The sequence below is a fragment of the Homo sapiens genome, chromosome 11 (genome assembly GCF_000001405.40).
Source record: "Homo sapiens chromosome 11, GRCh38.p14 Primary Assembly".
Classification (NCBI taxonomy): domain Eukaryota; kingdom Metazoa; phylum Chordata; class Mammalia; order Primates; family Hominidae; genus Homo; species Homo sapiens.
The window spans coordinates 18775385-18801157 of NC_000011.10; the positions used below are offsets into that span (position 1 = coordinate 18775385).

General features: G+C 48.2%; 1 protein-coding gene across 11 annotated transcripts in view, besides 2 other annotated features; it reads right to left on the minus strand.

Moving 5' to 3' along the window:
• PTPN5 (protein tyrosine phosphatase non-receptor type 5) overlaps window positions 1–17337 on the minus strand; it is a 64794-nt gene extending 47457 nt beyond the window's left edge. For 6 of the 11 annotated variants that reach the window (XM_017018439.2, XM_017018436.2, NM_001278236.1 and 3 more), the window contains exon 1: window positions 16141–17337. The gene's annotated coding sequence lies outside the window, so the exon portion shown is untranslated. The remainder of the gene's footprint in view (window positions 1–16140) is intronic. The other 5 variants (NM_001278239.2, NM_001278238.2, NM_032781.4 and 2 more) reach the window with 1 other exon arrangement.
• Window positions 298–592: an enhancer, noted in NCBI's record as "tiled region #5421; K562 Activating DNase matched - State 12:CtcfO". NCBI's record gives its function as "activates a minimal TATA promoter and a strong SV40 promoter by Sharpr-MPRA in K562 cells {active_cell/tissue: K562}" and the evidence as "EXISTENCE:reporter gene assay evidence [ECO:0000049][PMID:27701403]".
• Window positions 23062–24261: an enhancer, noted in NCBI's record as "CDK7 strongly-dependent group 2 enhancer chr11:18819993-18821192 (GRCh37/hg19 assembly coordinates)". NCBI's record gives its function as "activates an origin of replication core promoter dependent on BRD2, BRD4, P300/CBP, MED14 and CDK7 cofactors, with strong dependence on CDK7, by STARR-seq in HCT116 cells {active_cell/tissue: HCT116}" and the evidence as "EXISTENCE:reporter gene assay evidence [ECO:0000049][PMID:35650434]".

Genomic DNA, 25773 nt, shown 5'->3' on the forward strand with positions numbered 1-25773 from the left:
AGGGGGTGAAGTGACCCAAGCAAACGAGTGAAGGAGCAAGAGGGAGATCCCTGTGCCTGTGTCCTTGCTTGGGATCACTGCTGTTCTCCCCAGAAGAACGACTGGAAGTCCTGCGCGGGACCACGACCTCGGGTTTCTCCACTTGAAGCAACAGCCCAGGAAGCAGGCCTTGGGAGGCTAGCTTGCATGGGGAGTTTGGGAGGCTGGCTTGGGTGGGGAGCCTGTGTTGGTGGCAGCTGTGTTCCATCAGTGCCATGACGAATACACTCACTGGCCCAGGGCCCAGAAGCCATGGGCTCTAGTCCCAGGCTACTGTGTGACCTTGGGCTAGTCATTTCCCTTATCTGAATCTCAGTAGCTCCAAATGAAAACCAAAGGGCCTGAATGAGATGACCTCTAAGGGCCTTTCCTTAGAGGTCAGGCTTCAATTCCAGGCCTGTCAGGTTTAACGAGGCAGAGGGTGGAACGGCAGTGAACCAGCAGAGGGCGCTCACAGCATCAGGGAAACAGGCCTTGGTCCATGGAGCCCAACCTGCAAGCATGTCCGGCCTGAGCCAATTATTAAGAGAGTCCAGGTTCAGCTGTGATTTGATGCTGTGGATGGTCCTACCTGATTATAAATGGTGCGGCGGTCACGGACCCAAAAGATAGAAAGGCAGGATTTTGGAGTTCAAAGGTTATCCGGTCTGATCCTCTGTTCTCCAAGACTCTGAAAACATTGCATTCTGCTCCCTCTCCCTGCACCTGCCCCCAGGTATGCAGTTTAATTTACCGGGAGAAAACAGGCAATCACAAATGCAAAGGTGTGATCACACTTCTTGTGGGCGTCTTCTGGTATTTCCGTTCAGTTACATGCTTGCTCCTACCTATAATGCTTTAGGATGCACTTTTTCCTCCACTGGAAAGCCCCCTTTTCCCTTCTCTGCTTGGAAAATTCTTATTTGCCTTTTAAGACTCTGTTCAAATGTCACCTCCTCAATAGAACCCTCCCCAACTCCCTTAGGAAGAACTGGGTACTCCGTCTTCTGTTCTTACCCCTCCATACGGTCATTATCTGTTGATGCCAGTCTCCCAGCCTCACACAGAGCTCCCTGGACATAAACCTGTGGTCTGTGATTACCGCAGCTTCCTTTTATTGCAGGCTTATTGTGTGCTGGATGTCGTGCCAAGCACTGCACACGTATGACATCATTCACCTCTCACTAGAACCATATGAGGTAAAAAGTCATCCTCCACCTACACGTGGAGATTGGGACTTGGAGACACTAAGTCACCTGCTCAAGGTCATATAGTTGGTATGTTGCAGAACCAGGCTTCAAACTCAGTTTATCTCAACCCCAGGCTTTATTTAAATCACTAGGTTTACAGCATCTGATATGGACTTTTCTGCTTCCCATGTCCAATACTGTATCTGGCACCAGGCAAATGTTAAAAAAAATGAAAAGTGGGGTAATGTTTGAGCATTTACAAATGGCTCATTAAAAACACCATAAAGGGCCAGGCACGGTGGCTCATGCCTGTAATCCCAGAACTTTGGGAGGCCGAGGTGGGCAGATCACCTGATGTAAGAAGTTTGAGACCAGCCTGACTAACATGGTGAAACCCTGTCTCTACTAAAAATACAAAATTAGCCGGGCGTGGTGGCGGGCGCCTGTAATCCCAGCTACTTGGGAGGCTGAGGCAGGAGAATCACTTGAACCAGAGAGGCGGAAGTTGCAGTGAGCCAAGATTGTGCCACAGCACTCCAGCCTGGGCGACAGAATGAGACTCCATCTCAAAACAAACAAACAAACAAACAACACCATAAAAGTAGTAAACACATAGGCTTTGGCTCTGGACTCCCCCAGTATGAATCAAGGCTCCCCCACTGGCTGCCTGATCTTGGGCAAGATTTTGACTTCTCTGTGCCTCAGTTTCTTCATCTGTGAAGCAAGGATAAATGTGTCTACACTCCAGAGGGTTATAATGGAGATTAAATGAATGTTGATCTTCACACAAAGTTTTTACATGAGATGCATGGAAAATGTGTAGATCAGGGCCAGGAAGCTCCTAAAAATGTTAACTGTCATCATCTTGTGTTTCAGGCTTTGCCTGTTTCCCAGTTAATATAACTTTTCTCCTCCCACGGATAAGGTCCATGAAGACTCTGGGATGAATCTTGCGGAGTGCTGGTAAACCGGTTCTTAACTTTCTCTTTACTGGACCTGAACTGCTGTATCACTGGGAGCAAGATGAAGTAAATGAGATTATTATGCAGGAATTAAAAAAAGAATAATGTAGGCCAGGCATGGTGGCTCACACCTGTAATTCCAGCATTTTAGGAGGCCAAGGCAAGAGGATCACTTGGGGCCATGAGTTCGAGACCAGCTTGGGAAAAACAGTGAGATCCCATCTCACCAAAAAATAATATGTGAGCGGAGCATGGTGGTACACACCTGTAGTCCCAGCTACTCAGCACGCTGAGGCAGGAGGATCGCTTGAGCCCAAGACTTCAAGGTTGCAGTGAGCTATGATCGCACCACTGCATTTCAGCCCAGCTTACAGGGCGAGACCCTGTCAGAAAAAGAAAGGAAGAAAGGAAGGAAGGAAGGAAGAAAGAAAGAAAGAAAGGAAGGAAGGAAGGAAGGAAGGAAGGAAGGAAGGGCCCTGATTTGTGCCCTCTGCCAATTTTCATGGTGTAAATGCTCCCACCATGGCTAATTTCAAGCTATGATTGTGAAGAGTCATGCTGCCAGTCTCAGCAGAGGTCCAGAGTTTTGCTCAATCTGTGCCTCAGTTTCTTCATCTTTAAAATAGAGCAGCAGTAGGACCTAACTCAAAATACTGTTGTGAGGAGTAAACCTGAAGCTCTTAGACGAGCACATGGCACGCTGTATGCTCTGTGTTAGCCAATATTACTGTTAAGAGTTTCAACTCAGTCTCACTGTTGCTTATCTGGCTTGGACACTGACCCAACCCCAGCAACTGGCCTTCTGCTCTGATGGGCAGAGTCTCTGCCTTCTAGGATTAGGCCTTGTCCACTCTTGCAGCTCTCCCTTCTCCCTCTGTGACACAGTTTGGATATTTGTCCCCACCCAAATCTCATGTTGAATTGTAATCCCCAGTGTTGGAGGTGGGGCCTGGTGGGTCACGGAGGCAGATCCTGCATGGTTTGTGCCATCCTGACGAGAGTTCTCACAAGATCTGGTCTTTTGAAAGCATGTGGCACCTCCCTCAACTCACTCTCTTGTTCCTGCTTTCGCTGTGTGATGTGCCTGTACCCTCTTTGCCTTCTATCTGATTGTCAGCTTCCTGAGGCCTTCCTAGAAGCCAAGCAGACACCAGTGCCCTGCTTCCTGTACAGGCTGGCCATGTGCCAATTAAACCTCTTTTCTTTATAAATTACTCAGTCTCTTGCACTGCTATAATGAAATTGCTGCATTTCTTTATAGCAATGCAAGAACAGTCTGATACACCCCGGAACTAGAATTCTGGCCTAGCCTGTGTTGGTTACACACCCACCCTGATCACACATTATTTCATGCCTCTGGTTTCATCCCTAGACTTCCCTCATGCTGCCCTGGGCCTGGGCTGCCCATGCTGCTGTCCCTTGCTCCGGATGGTCCATGATGATCCCTTCTGGCATCTGCTCCGCTCCTCATTGCTTACAAGGCTCCTTCTCATGGGGCTGGGATGTACTTACAGAGGGGAAAGCTGAAGTTCAGAGCTCAGTTTGCTCCCACCTGCAACTAGAGGGGCCCCTAGCTCCTGCCACACCCTGCTGTGAGCTCCAGCTTCTCATCAGGGCCCCTACCCTCAGCCTGATTTAACCCTTCTGTGCTCAGGCCTGGCTCACGTCATGGCAACCTGGGAAGATCTTGGCATCTTCAGGTTTGGTGGAAGAGTCTAACTGAGTCAGAAGCAGGGCCTGGAGGGGAAGACACAGCGAGGCTGGGTTTGGAAACATTAGCTGGATTTGAGGCTCTTTTGCAAGGAAAAAAAAAAAAATAGAGTGTAAACTAGGAAAAAATCCCAGGTGGGACCAAGAGTCAAGGTTGAAAGGAGCCTGACCTCTTGAATTCAAATTTAATAAATAGCAGCTGCAGACCTACCATATGCCACATGCTTCTCAGTACCTTATTTCATTAGCTCTTTGAGACAACCCCATGAAAACATCATTATCTCACTCTGCAGGAGCTATAGGCACTTAAGAGAGGTTAGGGACTGACATGAGAGCAGGTACGTGGTCTCCCTGGTCCTGGGCCAAGGATGGCTGATTCTCTCCTTTCCCTGTGCCAGTGGACAGCTGGAAACCTGGGCCCAGGGCAGGCTGTCAACAGAGGTCCTCAGTCACGGGCTGAATTCCTCAAAGCACGACAGACTGACCATTCTGAGATCACATATTGTAAGGCAACCCTGGTCCTCCGGGAAAAGGATGAATTCAGAGGCAGAGAGACCTGGCTAACATGCTGTGCTCTGCCACTTTCTCCACAAGGGGCCTTGGGTCGGTGTCCTAACCTCTCTGAGTCTCAATTTCCTCCCACTTAACATGGCACCGATGAGAGCTGCAGGGTTGTGATGAAGCCTGGGAAGCGAGGGCTGTACATAGGGAGAGCTTGGCAGTCCTGGGCAGGCCTCCTTCTCCATATTCCTGCTGACCTGGCTCGAAGCTTCACTTCCTGTCTCCCTCCAAGTCAACCTCACACAGGAGACACTCCTGCTCTTTGTACCAGGCAGTGCCATCAGCTACAAAGGTCTGCTTCCTATTTCCTCAGGCTCTGTCAGGTGTTCCTGGAGCTAATGAGAACAATGCAGGTGACAGCAGCTGGAGGATGAGAGGGGTCTTCCCAGCAGAACCTCCTCTGCCCTCTGGAGAGCTCCAGGCTGTTTCCAGGTCCCCAAGTCAGACCCAGAGCCCTAGGAAAGGGCGGGTAAAAGAACTGGAAACTCCACTTCACAGGATTTCCCAAATCCTCCTCTGCCATGACATCCGCCTGCCCCAGCCATGCTCCCTCCTGCTTTTCTGCCTTAGTCTCTCAGCTCCTAGAGCGGCCCCTAGCTCCTGCCACACCCTGCTGTGGGCTCCAGCTTCTCATCAGGGCCCCTGCCCCCCGCCTAATTTAACCCTTCTGCACTCAGGCCTGGCCAGGAAAGGCCTTCCTGCTCCTCCTCTTTGTGCTGTGGTTTCCAGCCCTTCCAAGGCCCACCTCAGCCCAGGTCTCCTCCAGGAAACCTCCCTAGTGAGTCTAGGGTGTGTTGACCTCTCCTCTGGCTCAATCCTTCCCCCAGCACTTTTTGTGACTTGGAAACTGGTAATGAGCCACACCCTGTCCCGGGCTGCTCCCTGGCTCTCTTGTCCATAACTTTGGCTTCTGTAAACTTCCCAGGCTGACAAGGGGCAAGGGATAAAACCCCCTCTTTATCCCCCACGACAGAAAGCCCAGTGCAGAGGAGAAAAAAACATGGAAGGCAGGTCCAGCTCTTTCCTTTACACTCAGATTTGGAAGGAAGATGGGAAGGAAAGACCAAGTGGGAGAAAAAGAAGAAAGACATGAGTGGAAAGGAGTGAAGGAAGAGGGAAGGGCTGCTGCATGACACTCAGTACCAGGGTCATGAGAGGACAGATCAGGCCCACGATCCAGGTGGCCTTGAATCATGCTTTAGGGCTCTCACACTCTGATTATGCAACTCCTAGGCTTGACACAGAGACCTCTTTGAAAACCTTTGGAACTCACCTCCTCCAGGCAGCCTTCTGAGATTGACTCTGATCTTTGCCGCACCCCCCCGGCCCCGCCCCGGCCCCCTTGACTCCCTGAGCTGCGCTACTTTGCACTCATCCATGCCACTTCCCATGATGCTAGGTCCTCTGGGGAAGGGATGGAGGTCTCTGCCTCACTGGCAGGAAGTCAGTTTACATTTATCATCTGTAGCCAGAGATCAGACTGTCTTTTTTTGACCACTTTTTTTTTTTTTTGAGATGGAGTCTTCCTCTGTCACCCAGGCTGGAGCGCAGCGGCGCGATCTAGGCTCACTGCAGCCTCCGCCTCCCGGGTTTAATCAATTCTCCTGCCTCAGCCTCCCAAGTAGCTGGGACTACAGGAGCCTGCCACCACACCTGGCTAGTTTCTGTATTTTTAGTAGAGATGGGGTTTCACCATATTGGCTAGGGTGGTGTCAAACTCCTGACCTCAAGTGATCCACCCGCCTCGGCCTGGTGCTGGGATTACAGCCATGAGCCACCATGCCCAGCTCCAACTTTATTAGCTCCAGGGGGTGGTTCAGAATATATTTTGTATTTTAAACCCAGTTTGTCTCTAAGATAATCTTACTATAATCTTATATCAATTTCTTTAATATCAGGCTCTGTACTGAGCCTTGGGGGACACACAGATAACTAAGAGCCAGTCCCTGCCCTCCACCCAGCATTCGGCCTAGTGAGTTGAGTGAGAAATGCATTAAAGGCCCACTGAGGCTGTCTTATGGGAGCACTCAGGAGGGCACAAAAACAGAGTCTGGGAAGCTGCACAGAAGAGACCCGAAGGACAAGCAGGAGTTCACCAGATACAGGGAGGACATTCCAGGCAGGGAACACTGCAGGGCAAAGGCCCGGAGAGGTGAAAGCACAAGGTATGCCAGGCAGACGAGGCAGCTCAGTGTAGCCACAGAGTAGACGTAAGAGGGACTCTTGTCACACAGCAGACGGCTTCATGAATCAGCCTAAGACACACTAACTTTGACTCACAGGCCATTTTTTCTCAGGGGGACAGAGGCAGGTATTGCCATGCTAGTTGGCATTTAGAAATCTGTGTGTGTATTGGGGGTTAGTGGGGAAAACGTGACAACGTGGATGGATCTCAAAAACTATGTCTTTTTTTTTTTTTGGAGATGGAGTCTCGTTCTGTCACCCAGGCTTGAGTGCAGTGGCATGATCTTGGCTCACTGCAACCTCCACCTCCCAGGTTCCAGGGATTCTCCTGCCTCAGCCTCCCGAGTAGCTGGGACTACAGGTGTGTACCACCATGCCCAGCTAATTTTTGTATTTTTAGTAGAGATGGGATTTCACCATGTTGGCTAGGCTGGTCTCGAACTCCTGACCTCAGATGATCCACCCGTCTTGGCCTTCCAAAGTGCTGGGGTTACAGGTATGAGCCACTGCGTCTGGCTTCTTAAAAACTATTTCATGACACAAAAGAGCATGTACTATATGATTCCACTTATATGACGATTAGGAACAGACAAAATCCATCTACAATGATAGAAATTGGAATAATCGTTATCTCTGAACTTTTGCGGGTGATGGAAATCTTCTGAGTCTTGCTCTTGGTGATGGTTATATGAGCTCATGCAGTTGTCAAAATGCACTGAACAGAACACTTAAGATCTATACATTGGACTGCTTGTAAAGTAAACCTGAAGAACATGTGTGAGCATTTTTGGTTGTTATAATGACTGAAGGGTGCTCCAGGCAAATATATAGGAGATGGGGCCAGGGATGCTTTTACATCAAAGAACTCTCCCACCCAAAGGCCAGTAGGTCCCTGTTGAGAAATACGGCTGCAAGCTATGGGGAGCCACAGAAGGATGGAAACACCAGAGACTTGGCCACATCTGTACTTTGGTAAGACAGGGCTCTGTGGTGGTGGGAGTATCTTGGGACAGTGATGTGGCACAGAAGGTGGATATATGATTTTCACTGCCACTCCTAGGCCTCGTATTTGCCTAACTCTTAGCCCACTGGCCTGATGCTGCCCCGAAGGGGCCCCAGGAGGTCCCTCTGAGGTACCTCAGATGCTGACCAGCTAGGGAAGTAGCAGAGGCAGCAGATGGCAGTGGGAAATGGCAATGCCTCACCCCCAGCCTCCCTGCCTCATGATAAGCAGCAAGGATGATAGAAGTGATCATCTTCCTCTGAAGTGGAGTCTCAGTGAAGGGGTCTCCCTGAGTGTCTAGAGTCCCTGGAAGCAGGGCTGAACGCTACTGCTGCTACTATAGGAAAGCACTGTTTTACATCATGGGCTAAAGAAGAACACAGCTGACTTGCGTGAAAATACTCACCTGACCCCTGCCTTCGGAAAGCCTTCTCTGACCTCCGTCCTGGGCAGGTGTCTCTCCTGTGTTCCCACAGCCCTACAGAGCACAGTTACTGCCTAGGTTTAAATTCTGGCTCTGACTCTTGCTGTGCGTACCTGAAATAGAGTTACTCAAGCTCTCTGTTTCCTCACCTGCAAATTGAGGATAACAGAAACCGTCTTCACTGAACTGTCACCAAGATTGAGATAATGTAGTAAGCACTCAGTAAGAGTGAGTGCTTATGATGAGCCTAGAATGCATCAGTACAGACCACTGTTGCCAGGTGACTCCTCTGGCACCTCCACTAGACATTAAGCTCCTTGCGGGCAGGGTCCTTGTGGTCGTGTTGATTGCTGAGGGCCTTGTGTCCACCACAGTGCCTGGTACAGTAAATACTTGCATGCTTGAATCAATTCCACCCACTAAGATCTCTCCTGAGAGCTTTCTTTTTCCACCCACAATGCCTCTAAATCACAACAATTCTTCAGAAACGGAGTCAGACTCATTTGTATTCTGTTCCCTCTTCTCTCTTCTCTGTTACCTCCATGGCCATGCAGAACCCAAACAACATTTAGTTTTTAAATTAACAGCTTCTTCCTGGACTCTCTATTCCTAAGACTTCACTCAGTGGTCTTCATACTGGGCACACAAAAATCCTTTTTAAAAAATGCACCCTGCACCTCTCAAAAAGTGAAACACAGAATGATCATACGATCCAGCAATTCCACTGCGAGGTATATACCCCAAAGAATTGAAAGCGGGGGCTCAAACAGATCCTGGCACACCAATGTTCATAGCCGTATTATTCACAATAGCCAAAAGGTGGAAACAGATGAATGGCCAAACAATGTGGTATATCCATACAATGGAATATATTCAGCTTTGAAAATAAATGAGATTCTGATATATGATACCACAGAGACGACCCTTGAAAACATTAGGCTAAGTGAAAGAAGCCAGACAAAAAAAGACAAACATGATGCCACTTACACGAGGCACCTAGAATAGGTGAATTTATGGAGACAGAAAGTAGAACGGAGGTCACCAGAGGCTGGGGGAGATGGGAATGAGGAATTAGTATTTAATGAGTACAGCGATTCAGTCTGGGAAGATAAAAAGATTCTGGAGATGGACAGTGGTGATGGTTGTATAACACTGTAAATATACTTAACGCCACAAAATTATACAGTTAACATTGGTTAAAATGGTAAATTTCGTGTTATGTGTATTTTACCACAATTTAATAAAAGCCTCCCACACCAAACAAACAAAACACTGGAAGGACAGACTTCCCTCTGAAATCTGACAGAGCTGCATGTCCCTCTGCCACCCCTAGGGCTCTGTGACCTTGACCCCCTGGCCCATGATCTATCTTCCTCTCCATCCTCTCCTTGGTTCCAACTCTTGGGTTCCCTGTTCTTTTTCTTTTTTTCTTTTTGAGACAGGGTCTCACTCTGTCACCCAGGCTGGAGTGCAGCGGCGCTATCTTGGCTCACTGCAACCTCTGCCTCCTGGGTTCAAGCAATTCTCATGCCTCAGCCTCCTGAGTAGGAGGGGCTGCAGGTGTGCGCCACCATGCCTGGCTAATTTTTATATTTTTACTAGGGACAGAGTTTCACCGTGTTGGCCAGGCTGGTCTCAAACTCCTGACCCCAAATGATCCCCTGCCTCAGCCTCCCAAAGTGCTGGGATTACAGGCATGAGCCACTGCACCAAGCTCCCTGTTCTTTTTCTACTCCAGACGCCAGGGCCACGACATGTTCTTTTCCTTGCACCCCTCTTTAACCACCTTGATCCCATCATATCTCTTGAGGGTGCTTCAGATGGATGCTTTGAGACTCTGAGATGGAAAAGCTATGTGCCTGGAGATGCTCATTATTGACTATGTGCAACAATAAAGACATAGTTAAATAAAGCAGGGGTCAGCCAACCAAGTATAAACAGAGAAGTCATGACAAAATGTTAAGTGAAAAATGCAGGCTATAAACCTATATGTGGACTAATTTCAACTATTACAAAATACAGATTTACAGAAAACATAGAATAGGGCATATAAAATGATGGTTCATCTTACGTTTGTTCTCTAGCATGGAGTATGGTTATTTTCACAACTGTAATTTATAATTTATACCAGACAACATCTTTAGGCAGATGATGAAATACACACATTGTTAGTTTTGCAAGAATCTTCAGAATTGATTCCAGATGCCCATATGCTGCCACCATTGAGGCCCACAAATCCCTCCCGAAAGGCTTGCAGAGGAATGGGAGGCGAGGGGCTGTTTCATGTCGACTCTTCAGAAAGACACTTCAGGACTTGGTGTGTCTCTCTAATGACTCCAACCAACTACCTCACCACAAAAAAGGAGGGCAATTTAGGGTCTTTATTTTGCTACTGGACTAACCAGGAAATTTGGCTGTGAACAGTTTATCCCTTACATTAGCCCAAAGTTAGGAATTCCCATGATGCTTGTTCCCTTACAAATCTGCAAACAGTGGATCTCCCGCATCTGGTGTGAGGGGATCCCCTCCCCATCCAACATGCTACACCCCAGGTATAGAAACTTGAGTCACGCTTGCTTCAATGGGGACAAAGGAAGGAGGGTGGCTTCTGTTCCATGTGCTGCAGCACAGTGGGAAAAGCTTTTCTCAGTCTAAGAGTTTGGAAATTACTGAGTTTTGCCAGACACCGGTGGCCATGATGCTCGTTCCACATCTCACCAGATGCAGAAAAGATGGAGATGATGTTAAAGAATGGGGGGAATCTATTTTTTTTTTTTTTTCTTTGAGACGGAGTCTCGCTCTTTCGCCCAGGCTGTACTGCAGTGGCTCTATCTCGGCTCACTGCAAGCTCCGCCTCCTGGGTTCATGCCATTCTCCTGCCTCAGCCTCCTGAGTAGCTGGGACTACAGGCGCCTGCCACGGCGCCTGGCTAATTTTTTGTATTTTTAGTAGACACGGGATTTCACCATGTTAGCCAGGATAGTCTCGATCTCCTGACCTCATGATCCGCCCACCTCGGCCTCTCAAAGTGCTGGGATTACAGGCGTGAGCCACCGCACCCGGCCTAGAATAGGGGGAATCTTATTTTCCACAATCCCCTAAGATAAGGAAGAGCCTTTTGGTGATAACACTGCTTAAAAGAGAAAAGAGTTTCTAGTTTTTGTTTTTCTTTTTTCCCCTTGAGATGACCTGAGTTTCTACCTTCTACATATGACAGGTGACAGACCTGTGGCTGCAGATGGAATCTGGACTGGGGGTCCAGAGATCCTGTGATTCTAAGACTGAGCCTGCATGTCACCTAGCCCCTCACATGGTCCAGCCAGTTTTCCCATCTCCACCTGTAGATCCATTTCAACAACTGATTAGGTGCCCGAAGCATTTATATGTCTATAAATAATTTCTCCCTCCCCACTGCCTTCTCTTTTTGGGAATCTGTCAGTTTACTGGAGATGATAGCATCTTGTCCTGCAAATATGGGTCTTTGTGTTAGAGATGAGTTTCCTTAAAACCTCTATGAAGGAAATGGTTGAGAGTGCAAGAGAAAATTTGAAATGAAGCCAGAAGGATGTATATTTGTGCGGGGAGGAGGATGAAGAAAGACCAAAAATGTTATTTTCATTGTTTTACAGTCATTTCAGGTACGTTTTACTATTTCGTCTTAGTCAACAGCAGTGTTTATAATATAAAGCCATACTGAATAAAATATGCAGACTTCACTTAAATTTTCATACTTGAGTGACAACACAGCATTCAAGTTATCTGAGCTTTATTATTTTGATCATAGTACAGATTACTATACCCTTACTATGGTATAATATCTTTATTTATTGGTTCATATAAGTCTAAGATATGCAGTCTCACACATAAATGGTCATTTCCAACATTCATTCATTCATTCATTCATTCACTCATTCAACAATGATTTACTGTGAAGGGCCAGGCTTGGTTTGCTAGGCACAAAGAATATAAGGTGAATAGGATATGTGTTCTCTTAGATTCATTAACATCATGCAGCTTCTCATTCTTCAGGTCTATAGGCCCTTACATGATTGGCTCTGCCCACTCTCTCACCTTTTTCCTTATCACTTTCCCCCTTTGTCTGTCTCTTACAGGTACACTTCAGGTTCCTTGAAGACACCAAGCTATTGTTACCCCAGGGCCTCTGCACCTGTGGTCTCCTCTTTTTAGAATGCTGTTCCCCAGGTCTCCTCTTCACTCAGGTCTTTGTTCAAATATCACCTCCTCAAAGACAATTCTATTTAAAGGCAGATCTCTTTCTCCATTCTTCCTCCCAGTCATCCCTCTTCCTACTTAATTTTTCTCCAAAGCACTGCTCACCACCTGAACAATTTTATCTTCTGTCTCCCCTGGTAGAGCTTGGGCAGGAAGTTCGTCTTTTTAGCAACGTATCCCTAGGGGCTAGAACAACCTGGCATGTAACAGATGTTTATATGTATTCAGAGAATAAATGAATGAATGAACTGGTTCTTGATAGTTTAGGGTGCTTGATGAACCAGCTTTTCAGGAGGGCTCATTATGGTCCCTGGTAGATTCATAGTCCCTACTCCTAAGCCTCCCACTCCTCCTCCTATTGGGCTGTGTCTGTGAATGACATCCTTGGCCATTCAGCCTCAAAGCCTTGCCATCACTTATTCTTCCCTCCTGTTAGTGCCTACATCCAATCAGTTACCAATTTTAGTGACACTGTGGCCTCTTGCATCAACTCCTTTTTCTAACCATTCTTACAACCACCCCCAGTCCATACTCTCTTTATCTCTCACCTAAACCATTGTCATCATTTCCTACCTGGGCTTCTGGCCAGCAGGCTCTCCACATCCAATCTGTTCTCCAAGGGGTAGCCAGAGTGAGTTTCATCATGTTACGGTTTGATTATGTTTCTCCCCCACTCAAAAACTAAAGACTCCCAACTCCTTAGCTTGGCAGTCAATGTCCCCCCAATAACCTCCATCCCCTTACCCAACCTTCCTTCTCAAGTCCCTTCTTTTATTCTTTTTGCTCCAGTTGGAATGAACTGCTTTCCAGTTTCTGTATATATCCTAGAAGTCCCCATGCCTGTCCATCCTCTGCTCATGCTATTTCCACTCCTCGAAATAGTTTTCTTCCTTTCTTCTAACGTACAAATCATTCACCCAGTTTAAATGCTACTTGGCTTCTCCAAGAAGCCGTTACTGACCTGTGAGGAGAATAAAAGTCCTCTTTCAACTGTTTTTAAGGGGTTATCCGCCTCTCTTTTAGGGCAAGTCTAGGGAAAGGACAGGCAATACGACACAGAACAAAGAGTTCAGAATCTGGAGTCAGATCATCTGAGCTGGAGGCCTAGCTCTCTGGATCTGAGACTTTTGAGGTATGCACCCTTAGATAAGTGAAAATCCAAGCCTTAATTTCCCTATCTGCAAAATGAGGATGATAACACTATTGTCACGGATGTCTTATGAGGAGTAAGTGACAGAGTATAGGAAGAGCTTTTGACACTACATACAAATTAATTATGAAATTCTATTACGCTAACGTACAAAAGGTTGAATAAACAAAAGTGTTGATCCTCCCAGGGAGTTTTCACAGATGTTTTATGCTGGCTGAGCCTGAAGTCCAGGAATAGGTCAGGGGGAAAGGAATTTTTTGAGGGAGGAGGACTTTGAGGCCTTAAGAATCCCATGTCCTTGGATGATCTGAAGAAAGGAAGAAGTATAGGGTATATCCACAAAGCTGGAGTCCTAGTGGAATTACTAGCTACCAATTCCTGAGCATTTTCTATGTGTTAGGGACTGTACTAAGTACTCTACATACATCATTCTTGAGTCAGAAATTATTCCTTCATAAAGCAAAAGAAGCCCATAGCAGTTACATAAATACGTGCTCCCACCCCACCGCCAAATAGTTCATAACATCATCAATCCAATGATGTTATTTTTTTGGATGGAGAAATTGAGACCCAAAAGGGTTATATACTGACACCGTACAGCCAGTGAGGAAGAGACTGGGACTGGAATCCAGATCCCTTCACTCTCAAGGCAGAAATCCCTACATGGCAAAAACCCAGGGGCCACCATTCATTATGAAGTCTGTGTAAACTTCATAGCCAATGCCATCTACATGGACTACACTGTCAGTGGCAGCCCCTGAAGTTCTGCCACTTGGCCACCCTGGCTCAGCTCCATGATGAGCTGCTCACCCCCCTCAAAAAGGAAGTTCTCGATGGAACTGGAGACTATGATTCTAAGTGAAGTAACTCAGGAATGGAAAACCAAACATTGTATGTTCTCACTCATAAGTGAGAGCTAAGCTATGAGGATGCAAAGGCATAAGAATGACACAATGGACTTTGGGGACTTGGGGGAAAGGTGGGAGGTGGATGAGGGATGAAAGACTACACATTGGGTTCAGTGTATACTCTGGGTGATGGGTGCACCAAATTCTCACAAATCACCGTTAAAGAACTTACTCACGAAACCAAATACCACCTGTTCCCCAAAAATCTATGGAAATAAAATAAAAAAAGGAAGTTCTTGAGACCAGAACCTCAGGTCCCTGGAGACTGAACACTGCCCTCCTTGCCAACTATTCCATCCAGTCTCCTCCAAGGTGACTGACTCCATCCCTTCACCATCCGTCTATGCTTGTACTCCTTCAACACATCTCTCGGGGCACCCTCTCTGCACCAGGCATCAGGCTCAGCTCTGGGGACACCTGGCTGCCCTTGAGGGAGCCGCGTGCTGAGAAACCACCCGAACCTGGTGTGATTGTAACTCAAGCTTCCCCAGCAGCTTTGTCAGCAGCACCAAGAGGCTGCCCTTAACGAGCCCCAAGGAGAAAGAGGTGGGGACCTCCGCAAAGGGATGACTACAGGGGCCTGGTTGGAGTAGAAGATCTGGCCCTCAAGCGGGAGGGAAGGGTGACTGGGAGGGCATGCAGTCAGGACACAGTGGAGAAGAGGACGAATCCTGGGATGCCACATCACCTGGTCCAACTGAGGACACTCAGGCTCAGTGTGTCCTGGGTGGATCAGGACTAACGCCTGGGAATCTGATCTCAGGTCCTGGGCTTCTTCATTCTCCCAAACGAATCCCAAACCCGGAGTGTTTGAGTGTTATGAGAGCTCTCCTTTGAGGTTGAAGGAAGCAAATTAAAGCCCCCTCTCCCCTTTTTTTGGTACCATAGGTAGGGAAGGTAGAAAATGAATGGCACCTGCCCCTCCAAGTGGGGCAGGGCTGGAATTACACACTTTCGTGGTACACTCAGGTGAATTTTGGGGTTCTGGGGCTTCAATGTGGGTGGGATCTAGTTGTGTAGGAGGGGAGCATGAGTATGAAAACCAGGAACCCTAGATTCTAATGAAAGCTTTACCACTAACTCTCTGGTGACCTTGGTCCGCCACCTTACTGGGCCTCAGTTTCCCCATCTGTAAAATGAGAAGGTTGAATAAGTTCCCAGGATTCGTCTGGCCCTGATCTTCTAAGCCCTGTGATCCTTGATAAGGTAAGCCTCCCAAGGCTCTGACCCGGGCAATCTCCGGTTTTGCAGGAGCCTGGGCCTCAACCAGAAACAAGCAGCATGCTGGGGGAGGGGAGCGCGCTAAGCTTGTATTCTAGGGGAGGGTGGGACGCGGGAGGCTAAAGCTAAAGGGTCGGTGGAGGCGAAGCAATGGGAAGGCTGGGAGCCGCGCTTTAGAGGCCAGAAGGCTAGCGGCGATTTCCAATCTCCCTCAGGGGCTTCAGGCTCCGGAGAGGCGATGCAGCCCAGAGCCGCGCACCAGCCTCCGCCGGCCGCAGAGGCTCAGACCCCAAACCACTATCCCGATTCCTCCCCGGAACCGCGCACGGGCTTCGTGGGGAGTGGCTGCCGCTCCCTCCCGGCTACCAAGCGACAAGCCCCCTCCTCTGCATGGGGGACCCCTCCCCCAGCATGCGGGCGCCCAGAGCCCCACGGGGGCGTGGCGGGGGCGGGCGCCGGCTCCTCGGCCGGGAGGGCTGGAGAAGGTGTCAGTTGCGGGGCCGCCCGAAGGAGGGACCCGCGCCCTCCACCTTCCGGCTCCGCACACAAAGGCGCAGACGGAGGCGCCGCACTTACCGGCCAGAGCGGGCTCCGGGCGCCGGCGAGCAGGCGGGCAGGCTGGCGGGAGGATGCGCGCGCGAGTGTGCGTGTGTCTGCGTGTGTCCCTGCTTGTGTCTGTGCCAGTGTGTATGCGACGGGGGCCGCGCCGAGCTCTGTGCGTCTGCGTGTGCGGGGGCGTCCGTCCTTCGGTGCCTCCGTCCTTCGGTCCGTCCGCCTGGCGCTCCGTCCCGCGCTCCGTGCGCGCTCCCTCGCCCGACCGCCTCACCAAATGCGCTTCAGCTGCAGAGTCGCTGGCGCAGCCGCCGGGTGGGTTTGGCACCCCCCAGCCCCGGCTCCGCCCCGCCCCCGGGCGGGCTTCCGCCGCTCGCCGGGAATTGCGCAGGGCTGGCGGGGCGGGGGACCGGGAGAGCGGCCTGCTCCCGGGGCACGAAGGGGGCCGGATCACAGACCCTTAACCCCTGACCTCATCTCAGGTGCCTCCCTCTCCCGAGCAACTCTGCGCGGAGTCTCCGCAGTCGTCGCCCCCATGCCAAGGTTGCTTGGACAAGGAGGGCGGAGGAGTGGGAGCAGCGCATCCATTTCATTCATGATTTTTTCTCCTCTTGGGAGCCCCGGGTCGGGCCGCGCGGCTACGGCAACTGCCAGAGGGACCCCGGCAGGGCCGTGCGCGCTGAACCTGGGACGGGACAGACAGGCAGACAGAAGGAGTAGGGGCCAGCGAGACAAAGGGGGCAGAGTTGGGGGAGGGAGTCGGCTCATTGGGGGCATGCCGTGGCGCTCCCCGCATGTTGCCAACACCTGCGCAAGTGGAGCGGCCCCATACTAGGGCGCATGCAATACCAGGTGCCGAGGACTCGTTCTAGGACGCTGAGGAGGCGTCCTTTTTCCCAGTTCTCCCTGTTCAGCCTCTGGGGAGCTAGAGCGAGTGGACAGCCCCTCCCTCCACTGAGTCTTGCCCTCCTGACGTGCGGCGCGGGGCACGCACCTGTTTTGGTTTTCTCGTGGGCACCAGGGGCCCGGACGAGCAGGGAGCTGCCCATGTGCCCCACAATCCTGCCACAATCTTCCGTATTCTCCAGGCTGCTAGTGCGCTGGCCAGAGGTTTCCGGCATTCCATCCCCATGGGGGCTTGAGGCTGTGGGCTGCACACAGGGCAGGGATCCTAAACTCCATTTTTTACACGGGGAATCAGAGGCGAGCCACCACGTAGCTACCACCCTGGTTCCAGCCACCATCCACCCCCGCCCCCCGGGATTTCCATTATAGTCTCTTTACTGGTCTCCCAGCTTCCACCCTTGGCCCCCTGCAGCTGATTCTCTACACAGCAGTCAAGGCGATCCTTTAAAATTTAAGTCAGAGCACGTCGTTCCTTTACTGGAAATCCTACACTAGCACTCCATTTCATCCAAGGGAAAGTTAAAGGCCCCTCATGACCTGCAAAGCCCTTCAGGAACTGGCTCCTTTTTAGCTCTTTAACCTCTCTTTCTACCACCCTCCCCCTTCTCCCACGCTCCAGTCACATTGGCCTTTTTAATGCATCATCGGCGTGGCAGCCCTGTGGCCTCAGGACCTTTGCACTGCTGGTCTGTCTGCCTGGAAACTCTTCCCTCTGATAGTCACACGGCTACTCCTTTACCTCTTCAAAGTGTCACTCCCCCCACCCCCCCGCCCCCGAGACGGAGTCTTGCTCTGTCGTCCAGGCTGGAGTGCAGTGGCTCCATCTCAGCTCACTGCAACCCCTGCCTCCTGGGTTCAAGCGATTCTCCTGTCTCAGCCTTCCGAGTAGCTGGGACTACAGGCGCCCGCCACCATGCCCAGCTAATTTTTGTATTTTTAGTTGAGACGGGGTTTCGCCATGTTGGCCGGGCTGGTCTCGAACTCCTGACCTCATGATCCGCCCGTCTTGGCCTCCCAAAGTGCTGGGATTACAGGCGTGAGCCACCCTGCCCAGGCTCAATGTGTCGCTTCTAAGATAATTGCTGTAACTATCCTGTTTAAAGTTGCTGGCCCTCCCTCCTCATTTTCTCCATGCAGCTATGACTTTTATTTCTGTTCCCTGCCCCTGAGGCTCACTGGCTTCATTGCCAGCTCCCATCTCAATCCCCTCCCATCCCAATCCTTCAGCCTCACCTCACTAATCTGTTTTTTAAACAAACCCTGTGTTTTCCTGTCTCTAGGCCTTTGTTCACGTTGTCCCTGTTCAGTCTGGAATGCCATCCCTCCCATGTCTTGACTAATTTTTAAGGTCCAGCTTAAATACCACCTCCTTCTCCCCACATTTCCAGGGACACTCAGCTCTCATTACTTTCTGTCTGCTGTGATAGTGGTTCCTTCTCTTTTTCCCCAGGTGCACTATGAACTCCTGGAAAGTAGGGCGGGGTGTCTTCCCTTTCCCCAGTTCCCAGCACAGAAGGGCCCATCAGCACATGTTTGTGGATCAACGGCACTGATTGGGAGGCCCTAGGCTGGGCCTCAATTGGTCTTTTTTTTTTTTTTTTCCCCTAGGAAAAGACCTAGAGACCTAGACCCAATTAGGTCCCTGTGTTGCCCTCAAGGAGTTTCCTGTGGGGTGGGGGAGGATTATATATTGGGTAAAAAGGCCATACTGCTTGGGTTGTGTGGAAGTGTGAGTAGACATTTCAGCCTGTACGCCAGGACCTGCTCCCTACCCCCCGAGAGCATCATCACCATGGTTCGGCATGAGGCTGATTTCTCCAGGCTGCATCAGTTGAACAATAGCAGCTACTATACATGGGCACTTTAGTATGTGCCAGGTAGTGTTTTGTGTTTTCTCAAGGCACTGCTCTATTGAATCTTCATGACATCTGTGGGAGGTAGGCCTTTTGACATCCCCAATTTCAGTAGAGGAAGCAGAAGGAATAAGTGAGTTACTTAAGGTCACTTAAGAGGTGTGTGTTTCAAATTCAGATCTAGCCAGTTCCATAGCACGTGGTCACAGAAGCAGGGATGCCTTAACATGAAAGCCCTTTGGGCTGATGGAAGGAAGGGGAGAAAGTAGGGCTTAGAGAGCTTCAGTGGCATCAGCCTGGCCCAGATTCTTGATGTCCCCAGCTCAGGGGTCACAGAGTCATGGTACTCCAGGTGCACTGGGGCCTCACAGGTTCCTGTCAGTGCTGCCTCTGATGTCCTGTGGTGGAGGCTAATGGCTGCCCTTGTAAAGGCAACTTCGGAAAGCTAGCGGTGCCTCGCAAACATTCCTAGCTGTGTGCTCTGGGTTCAAAGCCCAGCCCCAGCTGTCACATGTGGATAATAATGCCCATCTTAAAGGGCTATGGGAAGGAAGAAGTATGACAATACCTCTAGAAAGTAGTAAGGCAACAGCAACAACAAAGATCTTTCTTCTTTTGTTTCTTGTATTGAGTTTCTGTCAGATAGGGATATACCTAAACTAGTCTCCTCACCCTGTTTCCACCCTATACACCCTCTTATTGAAGAGTGTTACCCCAGGGTGCAGTTCAGGAAGGAAATCTAGCATTTTCTGAGGGCTTTAAAAATAAGCTATCCACGTTGCTTCCCTGCATTCTCTCGTTTGATCTGCCAAAACACCTTAGGAGGGACTGCTATTACCAAGGAGGAATAGGAGGCACAGAAAGGTCCAGGGGCTTTCCCAAGGCCACAGAGCTCACTAAACGAGATTCTAGCTTATGTCTGACTCTGTTCACTTAACCAGCACCCTGCCAACACACGGAAAGTGACTGCTTTGATTTCCTTTCTCTTCTCTGATGAGGAAGAGTCCTGTGAGGCCCATGGCAACGAAATAGTTGTGAGGTTGTGACGACTTAGGAGTCTTCTTGAGCCGTTTTGTGTAACTCATTTACCCTTTCATGATAGAGGGAAGAAGAGGGATTTAAGAAAGAGGAGATGGGGAGAAAAAGATGGTCTGAGAAACCAGAGAGTGTTTTACTGGTGGTTCTTGGTGGACTGTTAGAGATTAGAGTCCATCTTTCTTGCTTTTGGCCCACTTGCAATTCACTGTCTTGGTAATGAAATGCTTTGCTTCAGTGAAAATGTCCCCCTATCCAGATTTTTATTTATGTATTTATTTACTTACTTATAACTTACCCCAATCCACAAAGGATTTGAAGTAGCTTACCAAAGGGGCAGGATCCATAAAACAATGTTAAAATATCAATGAGGATAAAGAATCAGGACCAAAGAAAATGTAAATAAACGTTGAGTGACATGACCAAAGCTCAATAATCACAGCTGTTTTTTTATTGAGTTTATTCTTGTGTGCAAAGGAATTTGTGTACATTATTTCATTTAATCCTTAAAAGAGCCATGTGAGGTAAGTACTATTATTATCTTCATTTTGAAGCATAGGGAGGCATTTCTCTCAGGCTGGGAGACATGAAATATGATGCCCTAAGTCACGTAGCTGGTAAGTGGTAGAGGCAGTATTTGAATCCAGGTTGACAGTGGAACCGATACCCTTAACCACTGTCCTATCCTGCCTCTCGAGGACAAAAGATTACAAACGTACAGACCACAGGGGCCTCTAGAGTACTGTGCTTGAACCTCAAATTTGGTTCTGATCATTTGGGATGCCAAAAAGAAACAATCTGTTACATAGAACTAATGCCTTTATATCCTTCAAGTTTTTGCTCCACTGTCATTTTCTCATTGAGGCCTCCCCTGACCTCTCTACCTAATACGTCAGAGCCTGCCTTCTCCCGTTCCCTTCAGGAGTCCCAATCTCTCCTTTTCTTTTATAATGACACATTTTACCTTCTAATGTACTGGATAATTTCTTTATAAACTATGTTATAATATCTATCTCATATTTTATATATTTCTTATGACATATATTCTATATTAATAAATTTATTTACGAGCTATAGATTAGGTAGTTTATCTATTTTGTATGTTCACCCTTTAATATCTGTTAAATATCTGTTTTTTTCCCACTGGAATACAAGGTCCACAGGGCATCTGCATCCGTTAGGCTCATTGATATATCTTAAGTGTCCAGGACAATGCCTGGTACATAGTAGGTACTCAATAAATTTTTGTTGAATGCTGAAATAAGTATCTCAGAGGGGAAGAAACAGACTAGTATATCTGAAGTAGCAAAGTATGTCACTTTTTTTTTTTGCAAGCTTATACTACTTTCTTTCCATTCCCTCCTTTCTTTTCTCATTTTGTTTTTTGTTTGTTTGTTTGTTTGTTTTTTGAGACAGAGTCTCGCCCTGTCACCCAGGCTGGAGTGCAATGGTGTGATCTCAGCTTACTGCAACCTCTGCCTCCTGGGCTCAAACAATTCTCCTGCCCCAGCCTCCTGAGTAGCTGGGATTACAGGTGCACGCCACCACACCCAGCTAATTTTTTTGTATTTTTAGTGGAGATGGGGTGTCACCATGCTGGCCAGGCTGGTCTTGAACTCCTGACTTGGTGATCTGCCTGCCTTGGCCTCCCAAAGTGCTGGGATTACAGGCATGAGCCACTGCACCTGGCCCTTTTCTCCTTTTTCCCTATTCACTTCCATAAAAAATGTGAGGTAGTTCTAGCACTTAGCTCTAAGAGCAAGTCTTCAGGAGGTTTTCCTGATGTTAGACCTTTAGGATTTATGCAGCCAGGGACCTTAGTCTCATCGTTAGAGTAAATGAGCAAATGGGAATTCATGAACCTAATTGTGGTGGAATCTCTCAGCAAAAGCTGGATATTATCCCCTTACCTAAATCAGCAAAGGTAATCCTTTTAGGGGTATAGGAATAGTGCCCAAGTGCCGTATCTCAAGGATTTGGGATTTCGAGCAGATGCTATTATGATGGAGATGGGAAAATAAAGAACAGAGCTTTTTTTGTGAAATGATTGATTTAAAGAGAGACGACATCCTGGTGCTCCTAAGAGCTCATCTCCAGGGTTTATTTCCTGGCTGCAAGCCTGAAGAGTAAAAAGCCAAGGACATCAGCGAGGTTTCTCAGAGAACCTTAGCTGAGACCATTTGCTGGTGTTTGTGTGTGTGTGTGTGTGTTGGTTGCGGTGTGGTGTGATCTTCCTGTAGGGGCTGGCCACAGAGCTGGGACAAGCCCCTGGGGGCTACAGATACCAGTCTGTCAGCTCAGGGTGAAGGGCAAGGTCACCTGGCTGCTGATCCCAGGAAGAAACATCAGAAACACTTGGTCAGGAGGAGTGAGCATCACAGCTTTGTTTCCTCCATGGTCATGGTTCTGAACCCTTGCAGAGCAAATTATTTAACAAATATTTTATTGAGGGCCTACTCTGAGCCAGCTACTGTTTCAAAAACTGGATATGTAGTAGAGAAAAAGACAATCAGCTTCCCTGCTATCATGGAACTCGCATTCTGGTGGGGACACGCTGACAATAAGCCAGGTTAAAATAACAGATAAGAGGATAATTTCAGACAATGAAAGGCACAATGAAGAAAAAGAAAAGAAGGTGAGTGATGGAGAGCCGCCATTTTCAACTGGGTGTTTGGAGAAGGTTTTTTGGAGGAGATACCATTTGAAGAGAGACTTGAGTTGCAAGAAGGAATGAGCCACTCAGAGTAGGGCAAGGATTTCCTGGGCAGAACGTTCTCTTCTAGGCACAGCAGGAGAACAGAGTGAAAGATTGGGTAGGAGAGGAGCCCAGAGCATCCCAGCTGTATCTCAGAAACATCTCAGTGAACTACTAAGAAGTATGGATTCTGGGCCATGTGCGGTGGCTCAGGCCTGTAATCCCAGCACTTTGGGAGGCCAAAGCAGGTGGATCACTTGAGGTCAGGAGTTCGAGACCAGCCTGGCTAACATGGTAAAACCCCATCTCTACTAAAAATACAAAAAAATTAGCCGGGCATGGTGGCAGGTGCCTGTAATCCCAGCTACTCGGGAGGCTGAGGCACGAGAATCGCTTGAGCCAAGGAGGTGGAGGTTGCAGTGAGCCGAGATTGCACCACTGCACTCCAGCCTGGGCGACAGAGCAAGACTCAGTCTCAAAAAAGAAAAAAAAAGTGTGGATTCTGAAGCTCCTACCCCTGGAAAATTTAATTCAGTGGGATTGAGGTGAGGCTCAATGTTAAATGAAAATAAGTTCTCCAGATGATTCTGTTGACTGGCGATTGGCCAGGGTTGGAAACAACTAGCCTGGCCAAGGACCCCAACTTTTGGAGGAGGATACTGAGGCACAGGGGGAGGAAATCTCTTGTCTGGGGTAGCCCAGTGAGTTAATGGCTGAAAAGTCTCCTGAATCTGGACCAGACATGGTCAGGGATCTCTGGCAACAGGCCACAGAAATGATCATTGGCTGATTTAGGTGAAGGGGAGTTTACTGGAAGGCTGTAAGGAGGCTCATGAATGGAAATGGAGGCTGAAGAACCAGGCTTGGAAAGGTGGATGTCGGGAAGCTCCAGAAGTTTGCAGGGTTAGGAACATCTCCACAGTCACATCCAGATGTCACCACAAGGAAGTATGAGTAACTAACTTTTCTTCTTCCTTCCTAATTCCTCAGAATTTTGGCTGAGTTCCAATTGTGGCCTCACCCCACTGGCTAGAGGAGGGCACATCCTAGTTGATGTCATATCAAAACTTCATCCAAGTCTTCATCCAAAAGGAAATCAGGAGGCTGTTACCAAAAAAGCAGCCCCAAAGGAGCAAATGTGCACTACACCTGGCACCTCAGAGGGTTGAAAGGATCAGTCATCACTGTCATCATCATTACAAATAAACACACACTTATTTGTTTAGTAACTACTTACTATATGCCAGGTACTGTTCAAAGCATGTACATATATTGACTCATTTAATTCTTCCTTTATGACAATGAGGCAGATACTGAGGTAGGTACTGAGTCAGGAAACTGAAGCACAGAGAGGGTATGTAGCAACTAATGTTTAATTCTGTTTCTACAGGTTCTAAAGCTCATAACACCTCTTGTCTAAGTTGCTCCTTACAACGGCCTGTAAGGATACGCATTATACTTTAAGAGGTATAATGAGCTTTATCTACCTGTAAATATTACGGGTAGAGAAAGTAAGCATGCACATTCCAGGGTCACATACCTAGTAAATGGTAGAGTCCTTAGATTCGTAGATTCACTCACTTATTCATTCATTCATTTGTCAAATGGCATGTGGCTTTCAGGGGCCAGATACTGTGCTAGGTTTTGGCAACTCGCTGGTGAATAAGCTATATTTCTTCTCTCCAGAAGTTCACCAACTCCAGGGGAGTGGCAAGAGAAAAGGCTAGAGTGTGAGCAAAGGCCAGAAAAAACCAAGGGTTCATACTAAGGAGTCTGGATTTCATCTCAAGGGCAACCACAGAAAGATAGTAAGCTGGAAACTTGTGTTTTGTAAAGGCAGCTCTTTGCCCAGACCAATGTCCAGAAAAGAGAGTTTTCCTAGGTTTTCTGTGAGTATTTTAATAGTTTCAGGTCTTACATTTAAGTCTTTAATTCTTTTTTTAAGAGACAGGGTCTCACTCTGTCACTCAGGCTGGAGTGCAGTGGCAATCATAGCTCACTGCAGTCTCAGACTCCTGAGCTCAAGCAATCCTCCTGTCTCAGCCTCCCAAGTATCTAGGATGCAGGTGTGCACCACCATACCCAGCTAATTTTTATTTGATTTGATTTTTTTGTAGAGATGGGGTCTTGCTATGTTGTTCAGGCTGGTCTTGAACTCCTGGCCTCAAGCGATCCTGTTGCCTTAGCCTCCCAAAGCACTGGGATTACAGGTTTTAATCCATTTTGAGTTAATGTTTAAATATGGTGAGAGATAGGGGTCCACTTTAATTATTTTGCAGCCAAATGGATAGAACTGGATGGGGGCCATTATCTTAAGTGAAACAATTCAGAAACAGAAAGACAAATACCACATGTTCTCATTTATAAGTGGGAGCTAAATAATGTGTACTTATGGACGTAGAGTGTGGAGTGATAGACACTGGAGACTTGGAAGGGTGAAGGGGGTGGGAGAAGGTGGAGGATGTGAAATTACTTAATGAGCAGAATGTACATTATTCGGACGATGGATACTCTAGAAGCCCAGACTTCACTGCCACTATGACATAGAGCCATGTAACAAAATTGCCCTTGCACCCCTTACATTTATACAAATAAAGGAGACCTCCACATGAAGATAAATTTTTATCACAATTTTTAAAAGGCAACTTTGACTGCAACATGAAGAATGGACTGGAGGGGGCTAAGAATGAAGAGAGGGAGACAGTCAGGTGCTGATGCAGTGATTCCAGTGAAGACATGGTTGCCTGGATTAGGAGGATGGTGCTGCAGATGAAAGGAAGTGAACAGAGTAGAGAGGAAAGAAATGGAATTGACAGGATTTACTGATTGGATGAGGGTAGAAGGGGAGGGAGAAGTTAAGGACGAAAGCGAGATTTTTGAGTTTGGCAACTGGGTGAGGGGTAGTGCCATCCACTGTGAGGAAGGCTAGCAGAGGAGCCATTTGGGAAGAGGATAAGATAAGCTCAGTTTTGGAAATGTGGAGTTTGAAGTTCCAGTGGGATAGGGACATGGAGAGATATGGGAGTTTGCTGGACCTTTGTCTCCAGATCCCATTATTTTCCCACAATGCCTGGCTAATTTAGAGTCTCCATCTGCAGAGGCTGTCAGAAACCCAGAGACTGTCAGATCAAACCATTGAGATTGCCTGCTTCATCTCTCTCACAGTTC